The sequence below is a fragment of the Homo sapiens genome, chromosome 22 (genome assembly GCF_000001405.40).
Source record: "Homo sapiens chromosome 22, GRCh38.p14 Primary Assembly".
Lineage (NCBI taxonomy): Eukaryota > Metazoa > Chordata > Mammalia > Primates > Hominidae > Homo > Homo sapiens.
The window spans coordinates 29581296-29602652 of NC_000022.11; the positions used below are offsets into that span (position 1 = coordinate 29581296).

The 21357-nt window shown below is 49.3% G+C and overlaps 1 annotated feature.

The window, feature by feature from the left end:
• Nucleotides 8780-8829: a silencer, noted in NCBI's record as "silent region_13594". NCBI's record gives its function as "represses an Ori minimal core promoter by ATAC-STARR-seq in GM12878 lymphoblastoid cells {active_cell/tissue: GM12878}" and the evidence as "EXISTENCE:reporter gene assay evidence [ECO:0000049][PMID:35858748]".

Sequence of the window (21357 nt, forward strand, 5' to 3'; positions counted from 1 at the left end):
ACTCTGGGCCTCAGGATCCACCTCGGTAAAATGGGAGCGTGGAACAATAATACCAAGGGTTCTTTTTTTTTTTTTTTTTTTTTTTGAGACGGAGTCTCGCTCTGTCGCCCAGGCTGGAGCGCAGTGGCGCGATCTCGGCCCACTGCAAGCTCCGCCTCCTGGGTTCACGCCATTCTCCTGCCTCAGCCTCCCGAGTAGCTGGAACTACAGGCGTCTGCCACCACGCCCAGCTAATTTTTTGTATTTTTAGTAGAAACGGGGTTTCACCGTGTTAGCCAGGATGGTCTCGATCTCCTGACCTCGTGATCTGCCTGCCTCGTGCTCCCAAAGTGCTGGGATTACAGGCGTGAGCCACCATGCCCAGCCTACCAAGGGTTCTTAACAAGGCTGTCCGGGATGTGCAGCAGAGGGTCAGTGTAACCACCCCATGGGTTCATTTTGCCCGTTTCCCAGACAGCGGATTTATCAAGACAGAGGAATTGCAATAAGAGTTTAATTCATGCAGAGCCGGCTGAATGGGAGACCGGAGTTTTATTATTACTCAAATCAGTCTCCCTGAAAATTCGGAGACTGGGTTTTATTAAGGATAATTTGGTGGGTAGGGGCCAGAGAGTGGAGAGTGCTGATTGGTCAGGTCGGAGATGCAATCATAGGGAGTGGAAGCCGTCCTCTTGTGCTGAGTGGATCTCTGGGTGGGGGCCACAAAACCGGATGATCCGGTTTCTTAATCTGTGTATCGCCAGCGGATCCATTGAGTGCAGGATCGGAAAAATATCTTGAGCACCAATCTTAGGTTTTACAGTAGTGATGTTATCCCTAGGAGCAACTGGGGAGGTTTAGAATCTGTGGCCACTACCTGCATGACTCCTAAACCGTAATTTCTAATCTCGTGGCTAATTTGTTAGTCTTACAAAAGCAGTCTGGTCCCCAGGCAAGAAAGGGGTTTATTTTGGGAGAGGGCTGTTATCTTTGTTTCAAAGTTGAACTATAAATTTGCTGCCGGGCATGGTGGCTCATGCCTGTAATCCCAGCATTTTGGGAGGCAAAGGTGGATCAGAAGTTTAGGTCAAGAGTTCAAGACCAGCCTGGCCAACAGGGTGAAACCCCGTCTCTACTAAAAATACAAAAAAATTAGCCAGGCATGGTGGCGGGCACCTGTAATCCCAGTTACTCGGGAGGCTGAGGCAGGAGAATCTCTTGAACCCTGGAGGCAGAGGTTGCAGTGAGCCGAGATCGCGCCACTGCACTCCAGCCTGGGCAACAAGAGCGAAACTCCGTCTCAAAAAACAAACAAAAAGACTGTAAGTTTGGCCTATGCCCAGGAATGAATATGGACAGTTTGGGGGTTAGAAGCAAAATGGAGTCGGTTAGGTCAGATCACTTTCACTGTCATAATTTTCTCACTGTTAAAATTTCTGCAAAGGGGTTGCATCAGTAAGCCCCCTGAAATTGTATACAACGTTACGTGCTCCTCTGTGGTGCATTCTCTGGGGAAAGGCATTCACATGCCAGGTTTATCACCATCAAAGAAACAAACTTCCTTACAAGTGAAGACAGGGGCAAGGCTGTCAGCTGCAGACACTTTATCTCCACCATCTCCTTTCCCCTTTTCATCCCCCTTTGACTTCTCTGCCTGAAAATCCTGGGGCCTCTTTCTGCCCTGCCCAGCTCTTTTGCCCGCCCTCTAAACTAATCCCTTCTCAGCCCACAATCCCCCAGATCACAGACATTGGCAGGGGTGGAGAGCCTGCAGACCCCACAGGGGGCAGGGGCTCTATCCACTTCCAAAGGGGCAGGGACAGCTCCCCAAAAGAATGTCCACCCACTGACTAGTGGTTGCCTCCTGTTATGCTTGGCATGGGGGGAGTGGAGGCCAGGCCATGATTGCACCACTGCGCTCCAGCCTGGGCAACAGAGCAAGACCCAGTCTCTATAAAAAAATAATAATAATTTTAAGATTAGGACCACGTGTGGTGGCTCATGCCTGTAATCCCAGCACTTTGGGAGGCCAAGGCAGGAGGATCTATGAAAATTCAAAAAATTAGCTGAGCATGGTAGCACACACCTGTAGTCCCAGCTACTCAGGAGGCTGAGGCAGGAAAATCACTTGAGGTAGGAGGTCCAGGCTGTAGTGAGTTATGATTTTTTAATTAAATAAATAAATCAGGCTGGGTGCGGTGGCTCATGCCAGTAAATCCAGCACTTTGGGAAGCCAAGGTGGGTGGATCACCTGAGGTCAGGAGTTCGAGACCAGCCTGGCCAACATGGTGAAACCCCATCTCTACTAAAAATACAAAAATTAGGCCGGGCGCAGTGGCTCATGCCTGTAATCCCAGCAGTTTGGGAGGCCAAGGCAGGGGAATCACCTGAGGTCAGGGGTTCGAGACCAGCCTGATCAATATGATGAAACCCCATCTCTACTAAAAATATAAAAATTAGCCGGATGTGGTGGCATGTGCCTGCAATCCCAGCTACTCAGGAGGCTGAGGCAGGAGAATCACTTGAACCCAGGAGGCAGAGATTTTAGTGAGCCAAGATCGCGCCATTGCACTCCAGCCTGGGAAACAAGAGCGAAACTCCGTCTCAACAAAACAAACAAATAAATAAAATAAAAAATAAAAATACAAAAATTAGCCAGGCATGGCATGGTGACGCACACCTGTAACCCCAGCTACTCCGGAGACTGAGTCAGGAACATGGCTTAAACCCAGGAGGCAGAGGTTGCAGTGAGCCAAGATCGCGCCACTGCACTCCAGCCTGGGTGATAGAGATTCCATCTCGAAAAAAAAAAAAAAATCAAAGTCAGTATGATCTTAGCAGAGTCCCCAGTCAAAGCCACTCAGGAAAAACCCAGGTGGGTTGATGGAAGCACAGCAAATGGTGTCATGTGGTGGGAGCAGCTCTTTCCTTAGGAACCCAGCGTGGCAGACTGACTGTGGAGTGGTGGAAGTGACCACCTCCGCCAACCTGACTTTGGACCTGAGCTTCAAAGGATGAGTAGGAGTCTGCCAGGAGAGAGGGAAGGACCAGCGGAAACTCAGAGGAAGCAATGTGTACTCAGTATGTGAAGGGGCTGCCAGAGGCCAGGCGCGGTGGCTCACGCCTGTAATCCCAGCACTTTGGGAGGCCGAGGCAGGTGGATCAATTAAGGCCAAGAGTTTGAGACCAGTCTGGCCAACATGGCAAAACCCGATCTCTATTAAAAATACAAAAAGTTAGCCAGTCATGGTAGCCACACCTGTGGTCCCAGCTACTCTGGAGGCTGAAGTATGAGAATGGCTTGATCCCAGGAGGCAGAGGTTGCAGTGAGTGGAGATTGTGCCACTGCACTCCAGCCTGGGTGACAGCAATACTCTGTCTCAAAAAAAAAAAAAAAAAAAAAAAAATGAGGGGTGTGTGTTGAGGGCTCTTCCAGGAAGAAAGCACAGTTGAATATAATGAATGGGTGGAGATTATGTGATGGCAGCCTCTCATTCAGTACAGGAATAATTTTGTTTCTCTTTTTTTTTTTTTTTTTTTTGAGACAGGGTCTCACTCTGTCGCCCAGGCTGGAGTGCAATGGCGTGATCTCAGCTCACTGCAACCTCCACCTCCTAGGCTCAAGCGATTATCCTGCTTTAGCCTCCCGCATAGCTGGGATTACAGGCTTGCATTACCACATCCAGCTAATTTTTGTATTTTTAGTAGAGATGGGATTTCACCACATTGGCCAGGCCGGTCTTGAACTCCTGACCTCAAATGATCCACCCACCTCAGCCTCCCAAAGTGCTGGAATTACAAGTGTGAGCCACCGCACCTGGCTGGAATAATTTTCTAACAATGGAATGGGCTGCCTTGGTGGCATGTCATTGAATTGTGTCAACAGAGGCCGAGTAGCAGCACGTTGGCTATGTGGTAGAGGGCATTTGGCAGTCAGGCCACAGCAAGCTGGACCCAAGGACAGGGAGGAGCCGGCCTTGGTGGTTTAGGGTGAGAGGCTCTCACCAAAGCCTTGGCATTCCTGGCTGCCTCACACTGCCTCCCAGGTGAGGAGAATGAGGGAGGACTGACCTGCAGCCTCCTCCTGTGGGTCTTAGCATTTCTAAGAAGGGTTTTCCATCTCTGTCCAGCCAAATAGGGCAGGAGGGTGAAAAAAGGTGGTGCTGGGAGCATGCTTCCACCCCTGCCTGGGAGAGATGGGATATGGGCATCCCTCCCCAACCCACATGAACCACAGTGTGGCCGCTGACTAGAAGGGCAACCTCAAGGCCCCTACTCCCACCTCAGCTAGGGCAACCACATATCCCAGTTTATCCTGGACTTTCTCAGTTTTAGCACTGAAAGTCCTCCATCCCAGAAAACCCCTCAGTCCTGGACAAGCCAGAACCTTTGGTCACCCCAATTACGGCCCTAGTTCTCTCCCCAGGAGATATACCCACTCCATCCCAGAATCTTTTCCTTGCTTAACTAAATCTATTTACCCTCCTTTTTTTTTTTTTTTTTTTTTTTTTTGAGATGGAGTCTCGCTCTGTTGCCCAGGCTGGAGTGTAGTGGCGCAATCTCGGCTCACTGCAAGCTCTGCCTCCCAGGTTCAGGCCATTCTCCTACCTCAGCCTCCCGTCTAGCTGGGACTACAGGTGCCCACCACCACGCCCAGCTAATTTTTTTTTGTATTTTTAGTAGAGACGGGGTTTCACTGTGTTAGCCAGGATGGTCTCGATCTCCTGACCTCGTGATCCGCCCGCCTTGGCCTCCCAAAGTGCTGGGATTACAGGCGTGAGCCACCGTGCCTGGCCCTATTTACCCTCCTTGAAAGGGAGCTGGGGTCTGGGCGAGGTAGCTCACGCCTGTAATCCCAGCACTTTGGGAGGCCGAGGTGGGTGGATCACCTGAGGTCAGGAGTTCAAGGCCAGCCTGGCCAATGTGGTGAAACCTCATCTCTACCAAAAATACAAAAATTAGCCGGGTGTGGTGGCAGGTGCCTGTGGTCCCAGCTACTCGGGAGGCTGAGGCAGGATAATCAGTTGAACCTAGGAGGTGGAGGTTGCAATGAGCCAAGATCATGCCACTACACTCCAGCCTGGGCAACACAGCAAGACTCCGTGTCAAAAAAACAAAACAAAACAAAAAAACAAAAGAAAGAAAGACAGAAAGGAAAGGAAAAGGAAAAGGAAAGGAAGAAAGAGAGCAGGGATGGGGTCCAAGCTCAGTGGCTCACACATGTAATCGCAGCACACTGGGAGGCCCAGGCAGGAGGATTACTTGAGGCCAGGATTTCAAGACCAACCTGGGCAACATAGTGAGACCCTTGTCTCTACTAAAAATTTTTAAAAATGAACTGGGTATGGTAATGTGTGCCTGTAGTCCCAGCTATTCAGGAGGCTGAGGTGGGAGCACTGCTTGAGCCCAGGAGTTGGAGGCTGCAGTGAGCTATGGTCATGCCACTGCACTCCAGCCTGAACAACAGAACAAGACGTTCACTCTAAAAGAAAAGGGGTATGCCGGGCACGGTGGCTCACGCCTGTAATTCCAGCACTTTGGGAGGCCAAGGTGGGCAGATCACCTGAGGTCAGGAGTTCGAGACTAGCCTGACCAATGTGGAGAAACCCCGTCTCTACTAAAACTACAAAATTAGCTGGGCATGGTGGCACGTGCCTGTAATCCCAGCTACTCGAGAAGCTGAGGCAGGAGAATCGCTTGAACCTGGGAGGCGGAGGTTGTGGTGAGCCCAGAGTGCGCTATTGCACTCCGGCCTGGGCAACAAGAGCAAAACTCCATCTCAAAAAAAAAAAAAAAAGAAAAAGAAAAAAAAAGAGTGAGGGTGGAACTGGGCTCTCTTTGTGGCACTCAGTGACATACAATGCTGGTTAACTGGGCACCTGATGTGAACTGTCCTTACCCACAGACCATTCATTCTGTGTAGCAAACCAGTTGCTGTATTCTGGTCAGCAAACCAGTTAGGATAAAATTCCATCAATAGGCCGGGTGGGATAGCTCATGCCTGTAATCCCACTTTGGGAGGCCGAGGTGGGCAGATAGCTTTGAGCTCAGGAGTTCGAGACCAACCTGGGCAACATGACAAAACCCCATCTCTACAAAAAATGCAAACATTAACTGGGTGTGGTGGTGCACACCTGTAGTCCCAGCAATTCAGGAGGCTGAGGTGGGAGGATGGCTTGAATCCAGGAGGCGGAGGTTGCAGTAAGCCAATATCATATCACTGCACTCCAGCCTGGGTGACAGAGTCAGACCCTGTCTCCAAAAAAAAAAAAAAAAAAAAAATTCCACCAGTAAAAATGTGGCTGAGCACAGTAGCTCACACCTATAATCCCAGCACTTTGGGAAGCTGAGGCAGGAGGATCACTTGAGGCCAGAGTTTAAGACCAGCCTGGGTAACATAGGAAGACCCCATCTCTATAAAAATAATTTTAAAATATTAGCTGGTGGTGTGTGCCTGTAGTCCCAGCTACTCGGGAGGCTGAGGCCAGAGTATTGCCTAAGCCCAAGAAGTCAAGGCTTCAGTGAGCCATGATCATGCCATGCCACTCCAGCCTGGGCAACAGAGGGAGATCTTGTCTTTAAAAAAAAAAAAAAGAAAAAAAGAAAAATTCCACAAATAGAGATTTAGACAATTTCCAATTACTATGGAATAAATTACCCCAAATCTTAGCAGCTTGAAACAATCAGCATTTATGATCTCACACAGTTCCTGAGGGTCAGGAATTCTGGAGTGGGTGGTTAGCTGGGGCGGTTCCTTCTCTGGGGGTCTCACAAGGCTGTAATCAAGATATTGGCTTGGGTTAGTAGTCATCTGAAGACTTGACCAAGGCTGGAGAATCCCCTTCCACGGTGAGTCATTCACATGCCTGGCAAGTTAGCGCTGGTAGTTGGCAGGAGACCTCAGTTCCTTGCTACATGGGCTTCTCCAGAGGGCTGCTTGAGTGTCTTCACCACATGGCGGCTGGCTTCCCCCAGAGCAAGTGATCCAGTAAGGTGAAACCTTCAAGGACTTTTGTGATCTGACCTTGGAAGTCACACTGTCGTTTTTGTACATCCCATTGGTTGGACATGGAGCCCTCCTCTGCAGGAGTCAGGGTCTTGTTCTGTTGCCCAGGCTGGAGTGCAGTGGCACAATCATAGCTCACTGAAGTCTCCAACTCCTGGGCTCAAGCAGTCCCCCTGACTCAGCCTCCTGAGTCACTAGGACTGCAGGCATGCGCCATCCATGCTCAGAATATAAATATCAATACGTGAGCAGGGCTGCATGTCTAACCAATAGGTGTAAATATCAACATGCGAGAGTCACGTGGGACATCCTGGAGGCTGGCTAGCACAATTAGCTTTTGTACTAGGCCCAACTTAATTATTAGGGTTGGACTCAGTTCTTCAAGCTGTCTTCTACAAGGCCTCCCCAGAGTCCCCACTGTCCTCTGTCCTAGGATCTCTCTCTCTCTGAAGTTCCTTTCTGCCCACCACTATGTCTGTGACATCTTTTTCTCCTGAACATGTCTCCCACCCACCCCTCCTCTCCCTGCAGAGAGCCGACCCCTCCTCTCCTGCCCTCTTCCCTTCCCAAAGCTGCCCTCATGGAATCCACCTTCATAACTCTTTGCCGAAGTCCGTTATCCAATCTGCAAAACGAAATGAGAGGAGCCAGGGACAAAGACAGTTGGGCAGAGCCAGGCAGAGAAGAACAGGCAGGTTCATAAGTGTAAAATATTGACAAACCTGCCATCATCCATTCCCTCAGACAAATAGATCATCACCAAATGGGCTGCAGACGAGCAAAGAGACAAATTACCCAGCTGTGGCAGTGTCACCTGCTCCTTATTAATGGGCTTTTATGCTCAGACCCAACTGCTGTCTGAGAACTGTACCCTTCAGTTCTTATGGGACCCCAAACAGGAGGGAAAGGGACAAGAAAGCTTTTATGTCTCACCTGGGGCAAGAGCCACAGAGCTAAGTCCCAGCCTTTCTGGACTATGCATCATATACAGATATGAATCATGTGCCTTTGACAGAGTGCCACATAAAAACATTAACAGGCCAGGCGAGGTGGCTCACGCCTGTAATCCCAGCACTTTGGGAGGCTAAGGCAGGTGGATCACTTGAGGTCAGCAGTTCAAGACCAGCCTGACTAACATGGTGAAACTCCATCTCTACTAAAAATACAAAAATTAGCCAGGTGTGGTGGTGTGCGCCCGTAATCCCAGCTACTCAGGAGGCTGAGGCAGGAGAATCGCTTGAACCCAGGAGGCAGAGGTTGCAGTGAGCCGAGATGGAGGCAGAGGTTGCAGTGAGCCGAGATCATGCCACTGTACTCCAGCCTGGGCAACAGAGCGAGACTCTGACTCAAAAAAAAAATGAACAAAGGCCGGGCGCGGTGGCTCACGCCTGTAATCCCAGCACTTTGGGAGGCCGAGGCGGGTGGATCATGAGGTCAGGAGATCGAGACCATCCTGGCTAACAAAGTGAAACCCCATCTCGACTAAAAATACAAAAAATTAGCCGGGCGCGGTGGCGGGCGCCTGTAGTCCCAGCTACTCGGGAGGCTGAGGCAGGAGAATGGCGTGAACCCGGGAAGCGGAGCTTGCAGTGAGCCGAGATTGCGCCACTGCAGTCCGCAGTCTGGCCTGGGCGACAGAGCGAGACTCCGTCTCAAAAAAAAAAAAAAAAAAAGAACAAAAAGTTCCACTCCGCGTATAGATTATAAATAATACAAATGCTAGGGGAAAAAATTAACCTGTTAAGTATAGAACAATTTCAAAGCTGGTGGAGTGGATTATAAACTGTGTTTATGCTATTGCCACAAGGTGGCGCCACTTTAGCAAGGAAGCAAATGCCCACATCCTGTCATTACTGAGCAAATCACACGGTTGTTGACGTGCTTGGGACACTAGCAATTGTTTTTTTGTGCTATTATTTGGCCAGACACTGTTATTATAAACCACTTTAAAAGGCTATAACAAGACTAGGCGCGGTGGCTCATGCCTGTAATCCCAGCACTTTGGGAGGCCAAGAGAGGCGGATCACAAGGTCAGGAGTTCGAGACCAGCCTGGCCAACATGGTGAAACCTGGTCTCTACTAAAAATACAAAAATTAGCTGGGTGTGGTGGCACATGCCTGTAATCCTAGCTACTCAGGAGGCTGAGGCAGGAGAATTGCTTGAATCCAGGAGATGGAGGTTGCAATGAGCTGAGATTGTGCCACTGCACTCCAGCCTGGGTGACAGAGCAAGACTCTATCTCAGAAAAAACAAAAACAAACAAATAAGAAAAAGGATACAACAACATCATTCAAGCATTCCTGAAGGAGAGGGGCTAGTGCTGAAAAGCATGTCCTCAAATCAACACCTTTGGAGTGGATATTGGACATGATGAGACACCATGAAGAAGACCAAACCACCTCCATGACAGGTGGTGCTGTTAATTTAGGAGACTGCCCGCAGGTACAGATAATGCTGCAAAGATACAAAGCAGGATCAAAAGCAAAAATGTGGTCAGATGGTTGTGCAGATTTATGAGTTATGTGAGTGCATTTCATCTCCTACTCGTATTCTTGGAACACAAAGTTTTGAATCATGTTAAGTTTACAGCATGGCATCCTTCTTGTAAAATATGACATTTAAATGAGGGAGGCTGGCCAGGAGTGGTGGCTCACGCCTATGATCCCAACACTTTGGGAGGCTGAGGTGGGTGGATCACCTGAGGTTAGGAGTTTGAGACCAGCCTGGACAACGTGGTGAAACCCGGTCTCTACTAAAAATACAAATATTACCCAGACTTGGTGGCCCATGCCTGTAATCCCAGCTACTTGGGAGGCTGAGGCAGAAGCAGCACTTGAACCTGGGAGGTGGAGGTTGCAGCGAGCCGAGATGGTGCCACTGCACTCCAGCCTGGGTGACAGAGCTAGACTCTGTCTCAAAAAACAAACAAACAAATAAATATGACATTCCTGGTCCTCCCCAGCATAAATATGGCCACTTGAGTCCACTCCTGCAAGCAGGGAGCTATGGGTTGAATTGTGTTTCCTCAAAAAGAGATGTTGAAGTCCTAACCCCTAGTACCTCGGAATGTGACCTTATTTGGAAATAGGGTCTTGAAAGAAGTAATAAAATTAAAATTAGGTCATTAGGGTGAGCCCTAATCCAGTATGACTAATGTCCTTGTGAACAGGGGACATTTAGACTGGGTGCAATGGCTCACACCTGTAATCTTAGCTCTGTAGGAGGCCGAGGTGGGCAGATCATTTGAACCCAAGAGTTCAAGACCAGCCTGGGCAACATGGCAAAACTCTTATCTCTACAAAAATGCAAAAATTGCCGGGCGTGGTGGCTCATGCCTATAATCCCAGCACTTTGGGAGGCCAAGGCAGAAGGATCACCTGAGGCTGGGAGTTCGAGACCAGCCTGACCAACGTGGAAAAACCCCGTCTCTACTAAAAATACAAAATTAGCCAGGCATGGTGGTGCATGCCTGTAATCCCAGCTACTTGGGAGGCTGAGGCAGGAGAATCGCTTGAACCCAGAAGGCGGGTTGCAGTGACCTGAGATCGTGCCACTGCACTTCAGCCTGAGCAACAAGAGCGAAACTCCGTCTCAAGAAAAAAAAAAAAAGAGCATTCAGTAACAATTCAATAAATTTGTGCTTTTAGGATGGATTTACTATTTGAAATTCCATTTCTTTTTTTTTTTTTTTTTTTTTGAGATGGAGTCTCACTCTGTTGCCCAGGCTGGAGTGCGATGGCGCGGTCTCGGCTCACTGCAACCTCTGCCTCGTGGGTTCAAACGATTCCCCTGCCTCAGCCTCCTAAGTAGCTGGGATTACAGGCATGTGCCACCATGCCTGGCCTCCATTTCTTTTTTAAAATTATTTTTATTTCTTTTGGGTGGGCAGGGTAGCTCATGCCTGTAATCCCAGCACTTTGGGAGGTGGAGGCAGGCAGATCACTTGAGGTCAGGAGTTTGAGACCATCCTGGCCAACATGGTGAAATCCAGTGTCTACTAAAAATACAAAATTAGCCAGGCGTGGTGGTGCACGCTTGTAGTCCCAGCTACTTGGGAGGCTGAGGCAGGAGAATCACTTCAAACCAGGAGGCAGAGGTTGCAGCAAGCCGAGATCATGCCACTGCACTCCAGCCTGGGTGACAAAATGAGACTCCATCTCAAAAAAATAAAATAATTATTATTTTTTTTCGAGACAAGATCTCACTCCCATTGCCCAGGCTGAAGTGTAGTGGTGCAATCTCAGCTCACTGCAGCCTGGACTTCTTGGGCTCAAGCGATCCTCCCATGTCAGCCTTCAGAGTAGCTGGGACTGCAGGCTCGCACCACCATGTCCAGCTAATTTTGTTGTTGTTGTTGTTGTTGTTTTTGTGCCAGAGTCTCGCTCTGTCGCCCAGGCTGGAGTGCAGTGGCGCGATCTCGGCTCACTGCAGGCTCTGCCCCCCGGGGTTTACGCCATTCTCCTGCCTCAGCCTCCCGAGTAGCTGGGACTACAGGCGTCTGCCACCTCGCCCGGCTAATTTTTTGTATTTTTAGTAGAGACGGGGTTTCACTGTGTTAGCCAGGATGGTCTTGATCTCCTGACCTCGTGATCCACCCGCCTGGGCCTCCCAAAGTGCTGGGATTACAGGCGTGAGCCACCGCGCCCGGCTGTTGTTGTTGTTGAGATGGAGTTTTGCTCTTATTGCCCAGGCTGGAGTGCAATAGCGCAACCTCAGCTCACTGCAACCTCAGCCTCCCAGGTACAAGTGATTCAATCTCCCAAGTAGCTCAGATTACAGGCATGAGCCACCACACCTGGCTAATTTTTTTGTATTTAGTAAAGACGGGGTTTCACCATGTTGGTCAGGCTGGTCTTGAACTCCTGACCTCAGGTAATCCACCTGGCTCAGCCTCCCAAAGTGCTGGGATTACAGGTGTGTGCCACTGCGTCTGGCCTAATTTTTTATATTTTTAGTAGAGACGGGGTTTTGCCATATTGCCCAGGCTCGTCTCAAACTGCTGGGCTCAAGTAATCCTCCCTCCTTGGCCTCCCAAAGTGCTGGGATTACAGGGGAGCCACTGTGCCTTGCCCCCATTTCTTATTCTCTCCTTTTTAAGTGATGATGGAACGAAGGCCAGGAAATGGTAAAAAATCTTTTTGAGGTAACACAGCACCTTGGACATAGGAGGTGCTTGATAATTTTTTTTTTTTTTTTTTTAGACGGAGTTTCACTCGTTGCCCAGGCTGGAGTGCAATGGTGTGATCTCGGCTCACTGCAACCTCTGACTCCCAGGTTCAAGAGATTTTCCTGCCTCAGCCTCCCTAGTAGCTGGGATTACAGGCACATGCCACCACGCCCGGCTAATTTTGTGTTTTTAATAGAGACGGGGTTTCTCCATGTTGGTCAGGCTGGTCTTGAACTCCCGACCTGAGGTGATCCACCCCAGTCTCCCAAAATGCTGGGATTACAGGCATGAGCCACCGCGCCCGGCCGATAAATATTAATTATGGTTTACGAGGGGTTTTAAACTTGTCATAGCATTTATTATTACAGTATTACCATTTTTACAAACGGGGTAACTGAAACTCAGAGAAGTTAAATTGCCCAAGGTCACAGAGAAATAGAAATTCTACCTCAGGCCTGTCTGCCTCCACCATCAACTGACATCCTAGAGAAATTCAAATCTCTGCAATCTGGCCTGAAGAGAACAGAGGACACGAGGAGTACTACTTATTTCCAAAAGTGTTCTAGGTCCAGATAGGAGTTATTACCTGCAGCCTGCTTTCATTCAGCTTCAGTACCCCAGTGTGGTGCCTTGGCTGAGCCTCTGACCATGCAAGGTCATCTGGGTCAGGTGATGTTTAATGAGTCGGGTTACCTCACTGAGCCTCAGACTGCAAGATAGGCAAGAACCTCTTAGTTTGCTTATTGCTATCTCAGCTGGTGCAGCTTACAAAAATGCATCTAGAACATCAGTCCAATTCTAAGCAAATGTAAGACAAACCAACGAGACAGACCTTTGAGAAATATATTCTATCGATACTTTTTTTTTTTTTTTTGAGATGGAATTTCGCTCTGTCACCCAGGTTGGAGTGCAGTTGCACGATGTTGACTCACTGCAACCTCCTCCTCCTGGGTTCAAGAGATTCTCCTGCCTCAGCGTCCCGAGTAGCTGGAATTACAGGCGTCCACCACCACACCCAGCTAATTTTTTGTATTGTCAGTACAGACAGGGTTTCACCACATTGGCCAGGCTGGTGTCAAACTCCTGACCTCAGGTGATCCACCTGCCTCAGCCCCCCAGAGTGCTGGGATTACAGGCATGAGCCACTGCGCCCAGCCCATACATACTCTTTAAAAAGTGTCAAGGCTGGCCGGACACGGTGACTCATGCCTGTAATCCCAACACTTTGGGAGGCCGAGGCAGGTGGATTAATTGAGCCCAGGAGTTCAAGACCACATTGAGCAACATGGCAAAACCCTTCTCTACTGAAAATACAAAAATTAGCTGGGTGTGGTGGCACACGCCTGTAGTCCCAGCTACAAGGGAGGGCTGAGGCACAAGAATCCTTGAATCCAGGGAGGTGGAGCTGGCAGTGAGTAGCTGAGACTACATCCATGCACCGCCATGCCCAGCTAATTTATATTTTTAGTAGAGATGAGGTTTTGTCACATTGGCCAGGCTCTTCATCAACTCCTGAGTTCAGGCAATCCACCCACCTTGACCTCCCAAAGTGTTAAGAGTTACAGGCATGAGCCAGGCACCAGGCCTCAATGTTAATTTCTTGATTTTGATCATTGTATTACGATTAACTAAAATGTTAACATTAGAGGATGCTAAGTGAAGGATATAGAGAAACTCTACTATTTTTGCAGGTTTTAAGTCCAATATTAGGTCAAAATAAAAAGCTTATAAATTATACACATTAAAAAATACTTTGTTGGTGGGGCGCGGTAGCTCACGCCTGTAATCCCAGCACTTTGGGAGGCCGAAGCAGGCGGATCACTTGAGGTCAGGAGTTCGAGACTAGCCTGGTCAACATGGTGAAATCCTGTCTCTACTAAAAATACAAAAATTAGCCATGCGTGGTGGCAGGCACCTGTAATCCCAGCTACTCTGGAGGCTGAGACAGAATTGCTTGAACCTGGGAGGCGGAGGTTGCAGTGAGCCGAGATCGCGCCACTGCACTCCAGCCTGGGTGACAGACCAAGACTCCATCTCAAAAAACAAATTTGTTATGTAAGGTCTTGTCCCAAGAAGAATAAACAATAACAAAACCTTAAATAAGAGATCTATAACTGTGTAAAAAGAAATACAGCTAGTGCAACAATTAAATAGTAAGTGGGTAGGGAAAAATTCACTGTAAAGTAAGCAAGAGCAGCAAGAATAAAATAAAGCCAAAAATAAGGCAAGGTCAAGTACAATTGCCAGAGGCAGACATACAATTTGGCTCTGAGCTTCTTACCAGCAGGAAGGAAACTTGATTACTTGAGTTACAATGTGTGTAAGAGAAAAAAACTTAAAATTTACATCCATACATAAAGTCCTGTACATTTCTTAGAAAATTATATTATAAAATATTTAGTGACGGGTGAGGATATTAATGAATGAAAAATTAACAAATGGCCAGGCGTGGTGGCTCACGCCTGTAATCCCAGCACTTTGGGAGGCCGAGGTGGGTGAATCACAAGGTCCTGAGTTCAAGACCAACCAGGCCAAGATGGTGAAACCCCGTCTCTACTAAAACACAAAAATTAGCCGGGCGTGGTGGCGGGCACCTATAATCTCAGCTACTCGGGAGGCTGAGGCAGAGAACTGCTTGAACCCAGGAGGAGGAGGTTGCAGTGAGCCAAGATTGCGCCACTGCACTCCAGCCCAGCTAAGACTCCGTCTCAAAAAAAATAAAATTAACAAATCATAAAACAATAAGTAGTATGCGATAGCAGTGGGTCAGTGGATTATGCGAGTTAAATTTTTTTTTTTTTTTTGAGACGGAATCTCGCTCTGTCATCCAGGCTGGGGTGCAGTGGCGCGATCTCAGCTCACTGCAACTTCTGCTTCCTGGGTTCAAGCGATTCTCCTGCCTCAGCCACCCCAGTAGCTGGGACTATAAGCACGCACCACTGCGCTCAGCTAACTTTTGTATTTTTTTAAGACACAGGTTCTCACCATGTTGGTCAGGCTGCTCTCAAACTCCCGATCTGGTGATCCACCCGCCTCCGCCTCTCAAAATACTGGGATTACAGGAGTGAGCCACTGCGCTCAGCCCCAACAGTTGTTTTTCTTGGTCGGGCGAGGTGAGCTGGGTGACTCATACCTGTAACCCCAGCACTTTCGAATGCCAAGCTGGGAGGATCGCTTGAGGCCAGGAGTTTGAGACCAGCCTGGGCAACATAGCAAGATCCTTGTCTCTACAAAAAATTTTTTAAAAATTAGCATGGCATGGTGGTGCCTTTAGCCCCCGCTAATTGGGAGGCTGAGGTGCAAGGATCTCTTGACCCTAGGAACTCAGAGCCACAATTAGCTATGATCGTGTCACAGCAGCACTCCAGCTTGGGTGAGAGTGAGTTCCCATTTCTTTACCAAAAAATGTTTTTCTTTCTGGCTGCTTTCTATTGCTGTGCAATAAATTGCTATACATTTAGTGGCTTAAAGTAACATACAGGCCAAGCACAGTGGCTCGCATCTGTAATTCCAGCACTTTGGGAGGCTGAGACAGAAAAATGGCTTGAACCCCGGAGACCAGCCTGGGCAACATCACAAAACTGTCTCTACCAAAAAAAAAAAATTAACGTTGCGTGACGGTGCATGCCTGTAGTCCTGTGTCCGGGATTGGTGGGTTCTCAGTCTCACTGACTTCAAGAATGAAGCCGAGGACCCTCATGTTGAGTGTCACAGTTCTTAAAGGCGACGTGTCCAAAGTTTGTTCCTTCTAATGTTCTGATGTGTTCCGCGTTTCTTCCTTCTGGTGGGTTCATGGTCACCGGCTCAGAAGTGAAACTCCACACTTCCGCAGTGACTGTTACAGCTCTTAAGGCGGCGCTTCTGGAGTTGTTCCTTTCTCCCGGTGGGTTCGTAGTCTCGCTGGCTTCAGGACTTAAGCTGCAGACCTTTGCAGGTAATATTACAGCTCATAAAAGCACTGTGGACCCAAACAAGGAGCAAACAAACAAAGCTCCCACAATATATGAAACAAGCTGCACAGGTTATCACTGCTAGCACCGGCAGCCTGCTTTTATTTTCTTATCTGGCCCCACCCACATCCTGCTGATTGGTCCATTTTACAGACAGCCGATTGGTCTGTTTTACAGAGAGCTGATTGGTCCATTTTGACAGGGTGCTGATTGGTGCGTTTACAATCCCTGAGCTAGACACGAAAGTTCTCCACCTCCCCACTAGATTAGCTAGATACAGAGTGTCTATTGGTGTATTTACAAACCCTGAGCTAGACATAGAGGGATGATTGGTGCATTTACAAACCTTGAGCTAGATACAGAGTGCCGATTTGTGCATTCCCCTTAGCTAGACATAAAGATTCTCCAAGTCCCCACCAGACTAGCTAGATAACAGAGTATGGAGTGGTGCATTCACAAACCCTGAGCTGGACACAGAGTGCTGATTGGTGTGCTTACAAACCTTGAGCTAGATACAGAGTGCTGATTGGTGTATTTACAATCCCTTGGCTAGACATAAAGGTTCTCCAAGTCCCCACCAGACTCAGGAGCCCAGCTGGCTTCACCCAGTGGATTCTGCACCGTGGCCGCAGATGGGGCTGCCTGCCAGTCCCCCGCCATGCGCCTGCACTCCTCAGCCGTCGGACGGTCGATGGGACTGGGCGCCCTGGAGCAGGGAGCGGCGCTCGTCGGGGAGGCTCCGGCTGCGCAGGAGCCCACGGCGGTGGCAGAGAGGTTCAGGCATGGCGGGCTGCAGGTCCCAAGCCCTTCTCCGCGGAGGGGCAGCTAAGACCGGCGAGAAATCGAGCACAGCAGCTGGTGGCCCAGGTGCTAAGCCCCTCACTGCCCGGGGCTTGCCGGCGGGCCGGCCGCTCTAAGTGCGGGGCCCGCTGAGCCCACGCCCACCCGCAATTCGCGCTGGCCCGCAAGCGCCGCGCGCAGCCCCAGTTCTTGCCCGTGCCTCTGCCTCTACACCTCCCCGCAAGCTGAGGGAGCCGGTTCCGGCCGTGGCCAGCCCAGAAAGGGACTCCCACAGTGCAGCGGCGGGCTGAAGGGCTCCTCAAGCGCGGCCAGAGTGGGTGCCAAGGCCGAGGAGGCACCGAGAGCGAGCGAGGGCTGCGAGGGCTGCCAGCATGACCTCACCTCTCAGTCCCAGCTACGCGGGAGGCTGAGGCGGAGGGATCACTTGATCCAGTGAAGGTCTAGGCTGAGCCATGATCTTGCCACTGCACTGCAGCCTGGGCGACAGAGCGAGACCTTGTCTCAGAAACAAACAAAAATCTCTGCTCTAGAGCACAGTTTCTTTATCTTGGCACTATTGACACTTTGACCTGGATAATTCTTTATTGTGGGGAGTTGTCCTGCGCATTGTGGAATGTTGAACGCCATCATTGGCTTTTACCCTTAGAGGCCAGGAACATCCCCCAGTTGTGACAACCAAAAAAGTCTCCAGACATTGCCAAATGTCCCCTGTAGGGCAGGGACCACTATCTGAGAAACACTGATCTGGAAGAGCAAAGTGTAAATCAGGAGAGATATGGATGAAACCACTCCTAGATGCAAATTGCAGCTCTACCAATCATGGCTGTGGGTAAATTACCTCTTTTCAGCCTTATTCAGTTTCCTCAGATATAAACTGAGGATATTACACCTACCAAATGTGGTTTTGAAAAAGGTCAAAATAGTCTGGGCGCGGTGGCTCATGTCTGTAATCCCAGCACTTTGGGAAGCTGAGGCGGGTGGATCACCTGAGGTCAGGAGTTCCAGACCAGCCTGGGCAACATGGTGAAACCCCGTCTCTACTAAAATACAAAAAATTATCTGGGCGTGGTGGCGCACCTGTAGTCCCACCTACTCTGGAGGCTGAGGCAGGAGAATTGCTTGGGCCCCAGAGGCAGAGGTTGCAGTGAGCCGAGATCGTGCCACTGCACCATAGCTTGGGCTACAGTGCAAGACTCCATGTCAAAAAAAAAAAAAAGAAGATCAAGATAAACAAAGCATGCAAAGCACTTTGCAGAGTGCTGTATATGGTAAGCATTTAAAATATGGTAGCTACTAATATTGTCCAGACCATAGTTGACACCGTAAGTATTTCTTTATGACCGTCACTCATTCATTCAACAGATATTTATTAACTGGGGTCTGTGTGCCAGATCATAATAAGCTCTATCTGAATTCCCCCTCAGACCCTTATCTGGTGCATATAATTATCATCTGTGTTTATTTATTTATTATTATTTTTTGTTTTGAGATGGATTTTCACTCTTGTTGCCCAGGCTAGAGTGCAATGACGCGATCTCGGCTCACTGCAACCTCTGCTTCCTGGGTTTAAGAGATTCTCCTGCCTCAGCCTCCCGACTAGCTGGGATTACAGGCACCCAGCACCAAGCCAGGCTAAGTTTTTGTATTTTTAGTAGAGACGGGAGTTTCACCATGTTGTCCAGGCTGGTCTTGAACTCCTGACCTCAGGTGATCCACCCACCTCGGCCTCCCAAATTGCTGGGATTAGAAGTGTGAGCCACTGTGCCTGGCCGTATTTATTCTTTTTTTTTTTTTTTTTTTTTTGAGACGGAGTCTCGCTCTGTTGCCCAGGCTGGAGTGCAGTGGCGCGATCTCGGCTCACTGCAAGCTCCACCTCCCGGGTTCACGCCATTCTCCTGCCTCAGCCTCCCGAGTAGCTGGGACTACAGGCGCCCGCCACCACGCCCGGCTAATTTTTTGTATTTTTAGTAGAGGCGGGGTTTCACTGTGTTAGCCAGGATGGTCTCGATCTCCTGACCTCATGATCCGCCCGCCTCTGCCTCCCAAAGTGCTGGGATTACAGGCGTGAGCCACCGCGCCCGGCCCGTATTTATTCTTTATGAATGGCATTTTTTGGGGAGCTGGGGGTCTCACTCTGTCACCCAGGCTGGTATGCAATAACACCATCATGGCTCATGTGGACTCCAACTCCTGGTCTGGTGTGACCATCCCGCCTCAGCCCCACTGAGTAGCTGAGACTGCAGGCACACTCCACCACACAGGCTAATTTTTTTTTCTTTTTTTTTGAGATGAAGTCTTGTTCTGTCACCTAGGCTGGAGTGCAATGGCATGGTCTCAGCTCACTGCAACCTCTGCCTCCTGGGTTCAAGCGATTTTCCTCTCTCAGCCTCTGGAGTAGCTGGGATTACAGGCGTGCGCCACCACGCCCGGCTAATTTTTTTTGTATTTTTGTAGAGACGGGGTTTCACCATGTTGGCCAGGCTAGCCTTGAACTCCTGATCTCAAGTGATCCACCTGCCTCCGCCTCCCAAAGTGCTGGGATTACAGGTGTGAGCCACCACACCTGGCACACACTGGCTAAATTTTTACTTTTTTTTGTAGAGATGGGGTCTTACTATGCTGCCCAGGATGGTCTCGAACTCCTGGCCTCATGTGATCCTCCAACCTTGGTCTTCCAAAGTGCTGTGATTACAGGTGTAAGCCACTGTGTCCAACCTGTGAATGGCACTTTTAATACCAGCAAAAGATTCTATCACATCGATTTTTATTCCTGGCCCTGACCTCCCTTCTGGGATTCAAACCCATATGTCCAGCTGGATGTCCTCCCAGGAACATTAAATTTGGCATTTGGGGCCAATTAGCCCAGTGCCTAGCACCTGGCAAGTCTTTTCATAAAAATGAGCTATTACCAATCATCAGTGTCGCTTTTTAGTCCCTGCTAGCTGATCCACCTCCTTTTGCTACTCCTCACTGGGTTCCCAGTGTCACGCATTTTCTTTTTCCTTTTTTTTTGAGACGGAGTCTCGCACTCTCGCCCAGGCTGGAGTGCAGTGGCGCCATCTCGGCTCACTGCAAGCTCCGCCTCCCGGGTTCACGTCATTCTCCTGCCTCCGCCTCCCGAGTAGCTGGGACTACAGGCGCCCGCCACCACGCCCGGCTAATTTTTTGTATTTTTAGTAGAGACAGGGTTTCACCGTGTTAGCCAGGATGGTCTCGATCTCCTGACCTTGTGATCTGCCTGCCTCCCAAAGTGCTGGGATTACAGGCGTGAGCCACTGGGCCCGGCCCGGTGTCACGTATTTTTATCAGCAGCCATTTGTTGTCCCTGTGGGGAGCCCAGAAAACCCAGCCCGGTTCTCCCACCTGCGGGGAAGAAATGAAGCAATGATAATGAAGACACTCCCATGCCAAGCCCATACTGCCCTGAGCAATCAGTTTTGGTGGGGAGAATTTGCTAGCAGAAGGCAGGACATAAAGTCCCCACAGCAGCCTCACTGGGTGTGGCAGCAAATCATTCCTGAGGCCTGGCCGGTGCTACCAGGCACAGCAGGGGTCCGTGCAGAAGAACTAGATTTATTCCATTAATATACCGTTACAGCAACAATGTCTGCTGAGTACTCCGGAACTGTAATTCACATTTCCTGAGGCTGTAGTAGGGAGAATTTGGAAGCAGGGCAGCACAGTGCTAACCAGCAGGCTCTGGGTGGGACAGACCTGGGTTTGAGTCCTAGCTTTGCCTTTCACTATCTGCATTATAGTCAGCGAGTGGCTCTATCATATCTCTCAGTATCTTCACCTGTGGAGTTGGGGGGGTGATGCTAATGTTAGCTAACATTTATGGGGTGATTATTGTTGTTAAAACTCAGTACACCGGGCGCGGTGGCTCACGCCTGTAATCCCAGCACTTTGGGAGGCCAAGGTGGGCAGATCACCTGAGGTCAGAAGTTTGAGACCAGCCTGGCTAACATGGTGAAACCCCGTCCCTACTAAAAATACAAAAATTAGCCGGGCGTGGTGGCGGGTGCCTGTAATCCCAACTACTGGGGAGGCTGAGGCAGGAGAATTGCTTGAACCCGGGAGGCGGAGGTTGCAGAGAGCCGAGACCGCCCCATTGTACTCCAGCCTGGGCAACAAGAGCGAAACTCTGTCTCAAAACAAAAAACAAACGAAAAAACACAGTAAATTGTCCCTATTTGACTACTAAGAGCTATTTTAAAATAGAATTTATTATCTAAGTACAGAAAGGTGTAATTATCCCCCCTACACCCGTTAGAACCCTTGATGACACTAAATAAATAATACATGAATACGGTTCAAAAATGGGCATCATAGAGTATAAAATAAAGAATGCTTTCATTTTCAACCCAAATTCAGCAATTTCATAGGATGCCAGGCTCAGCTCTAAAGCCTTATATGTATTCAGTGCGCTGAAATTCAACAACCTCACGAGGTA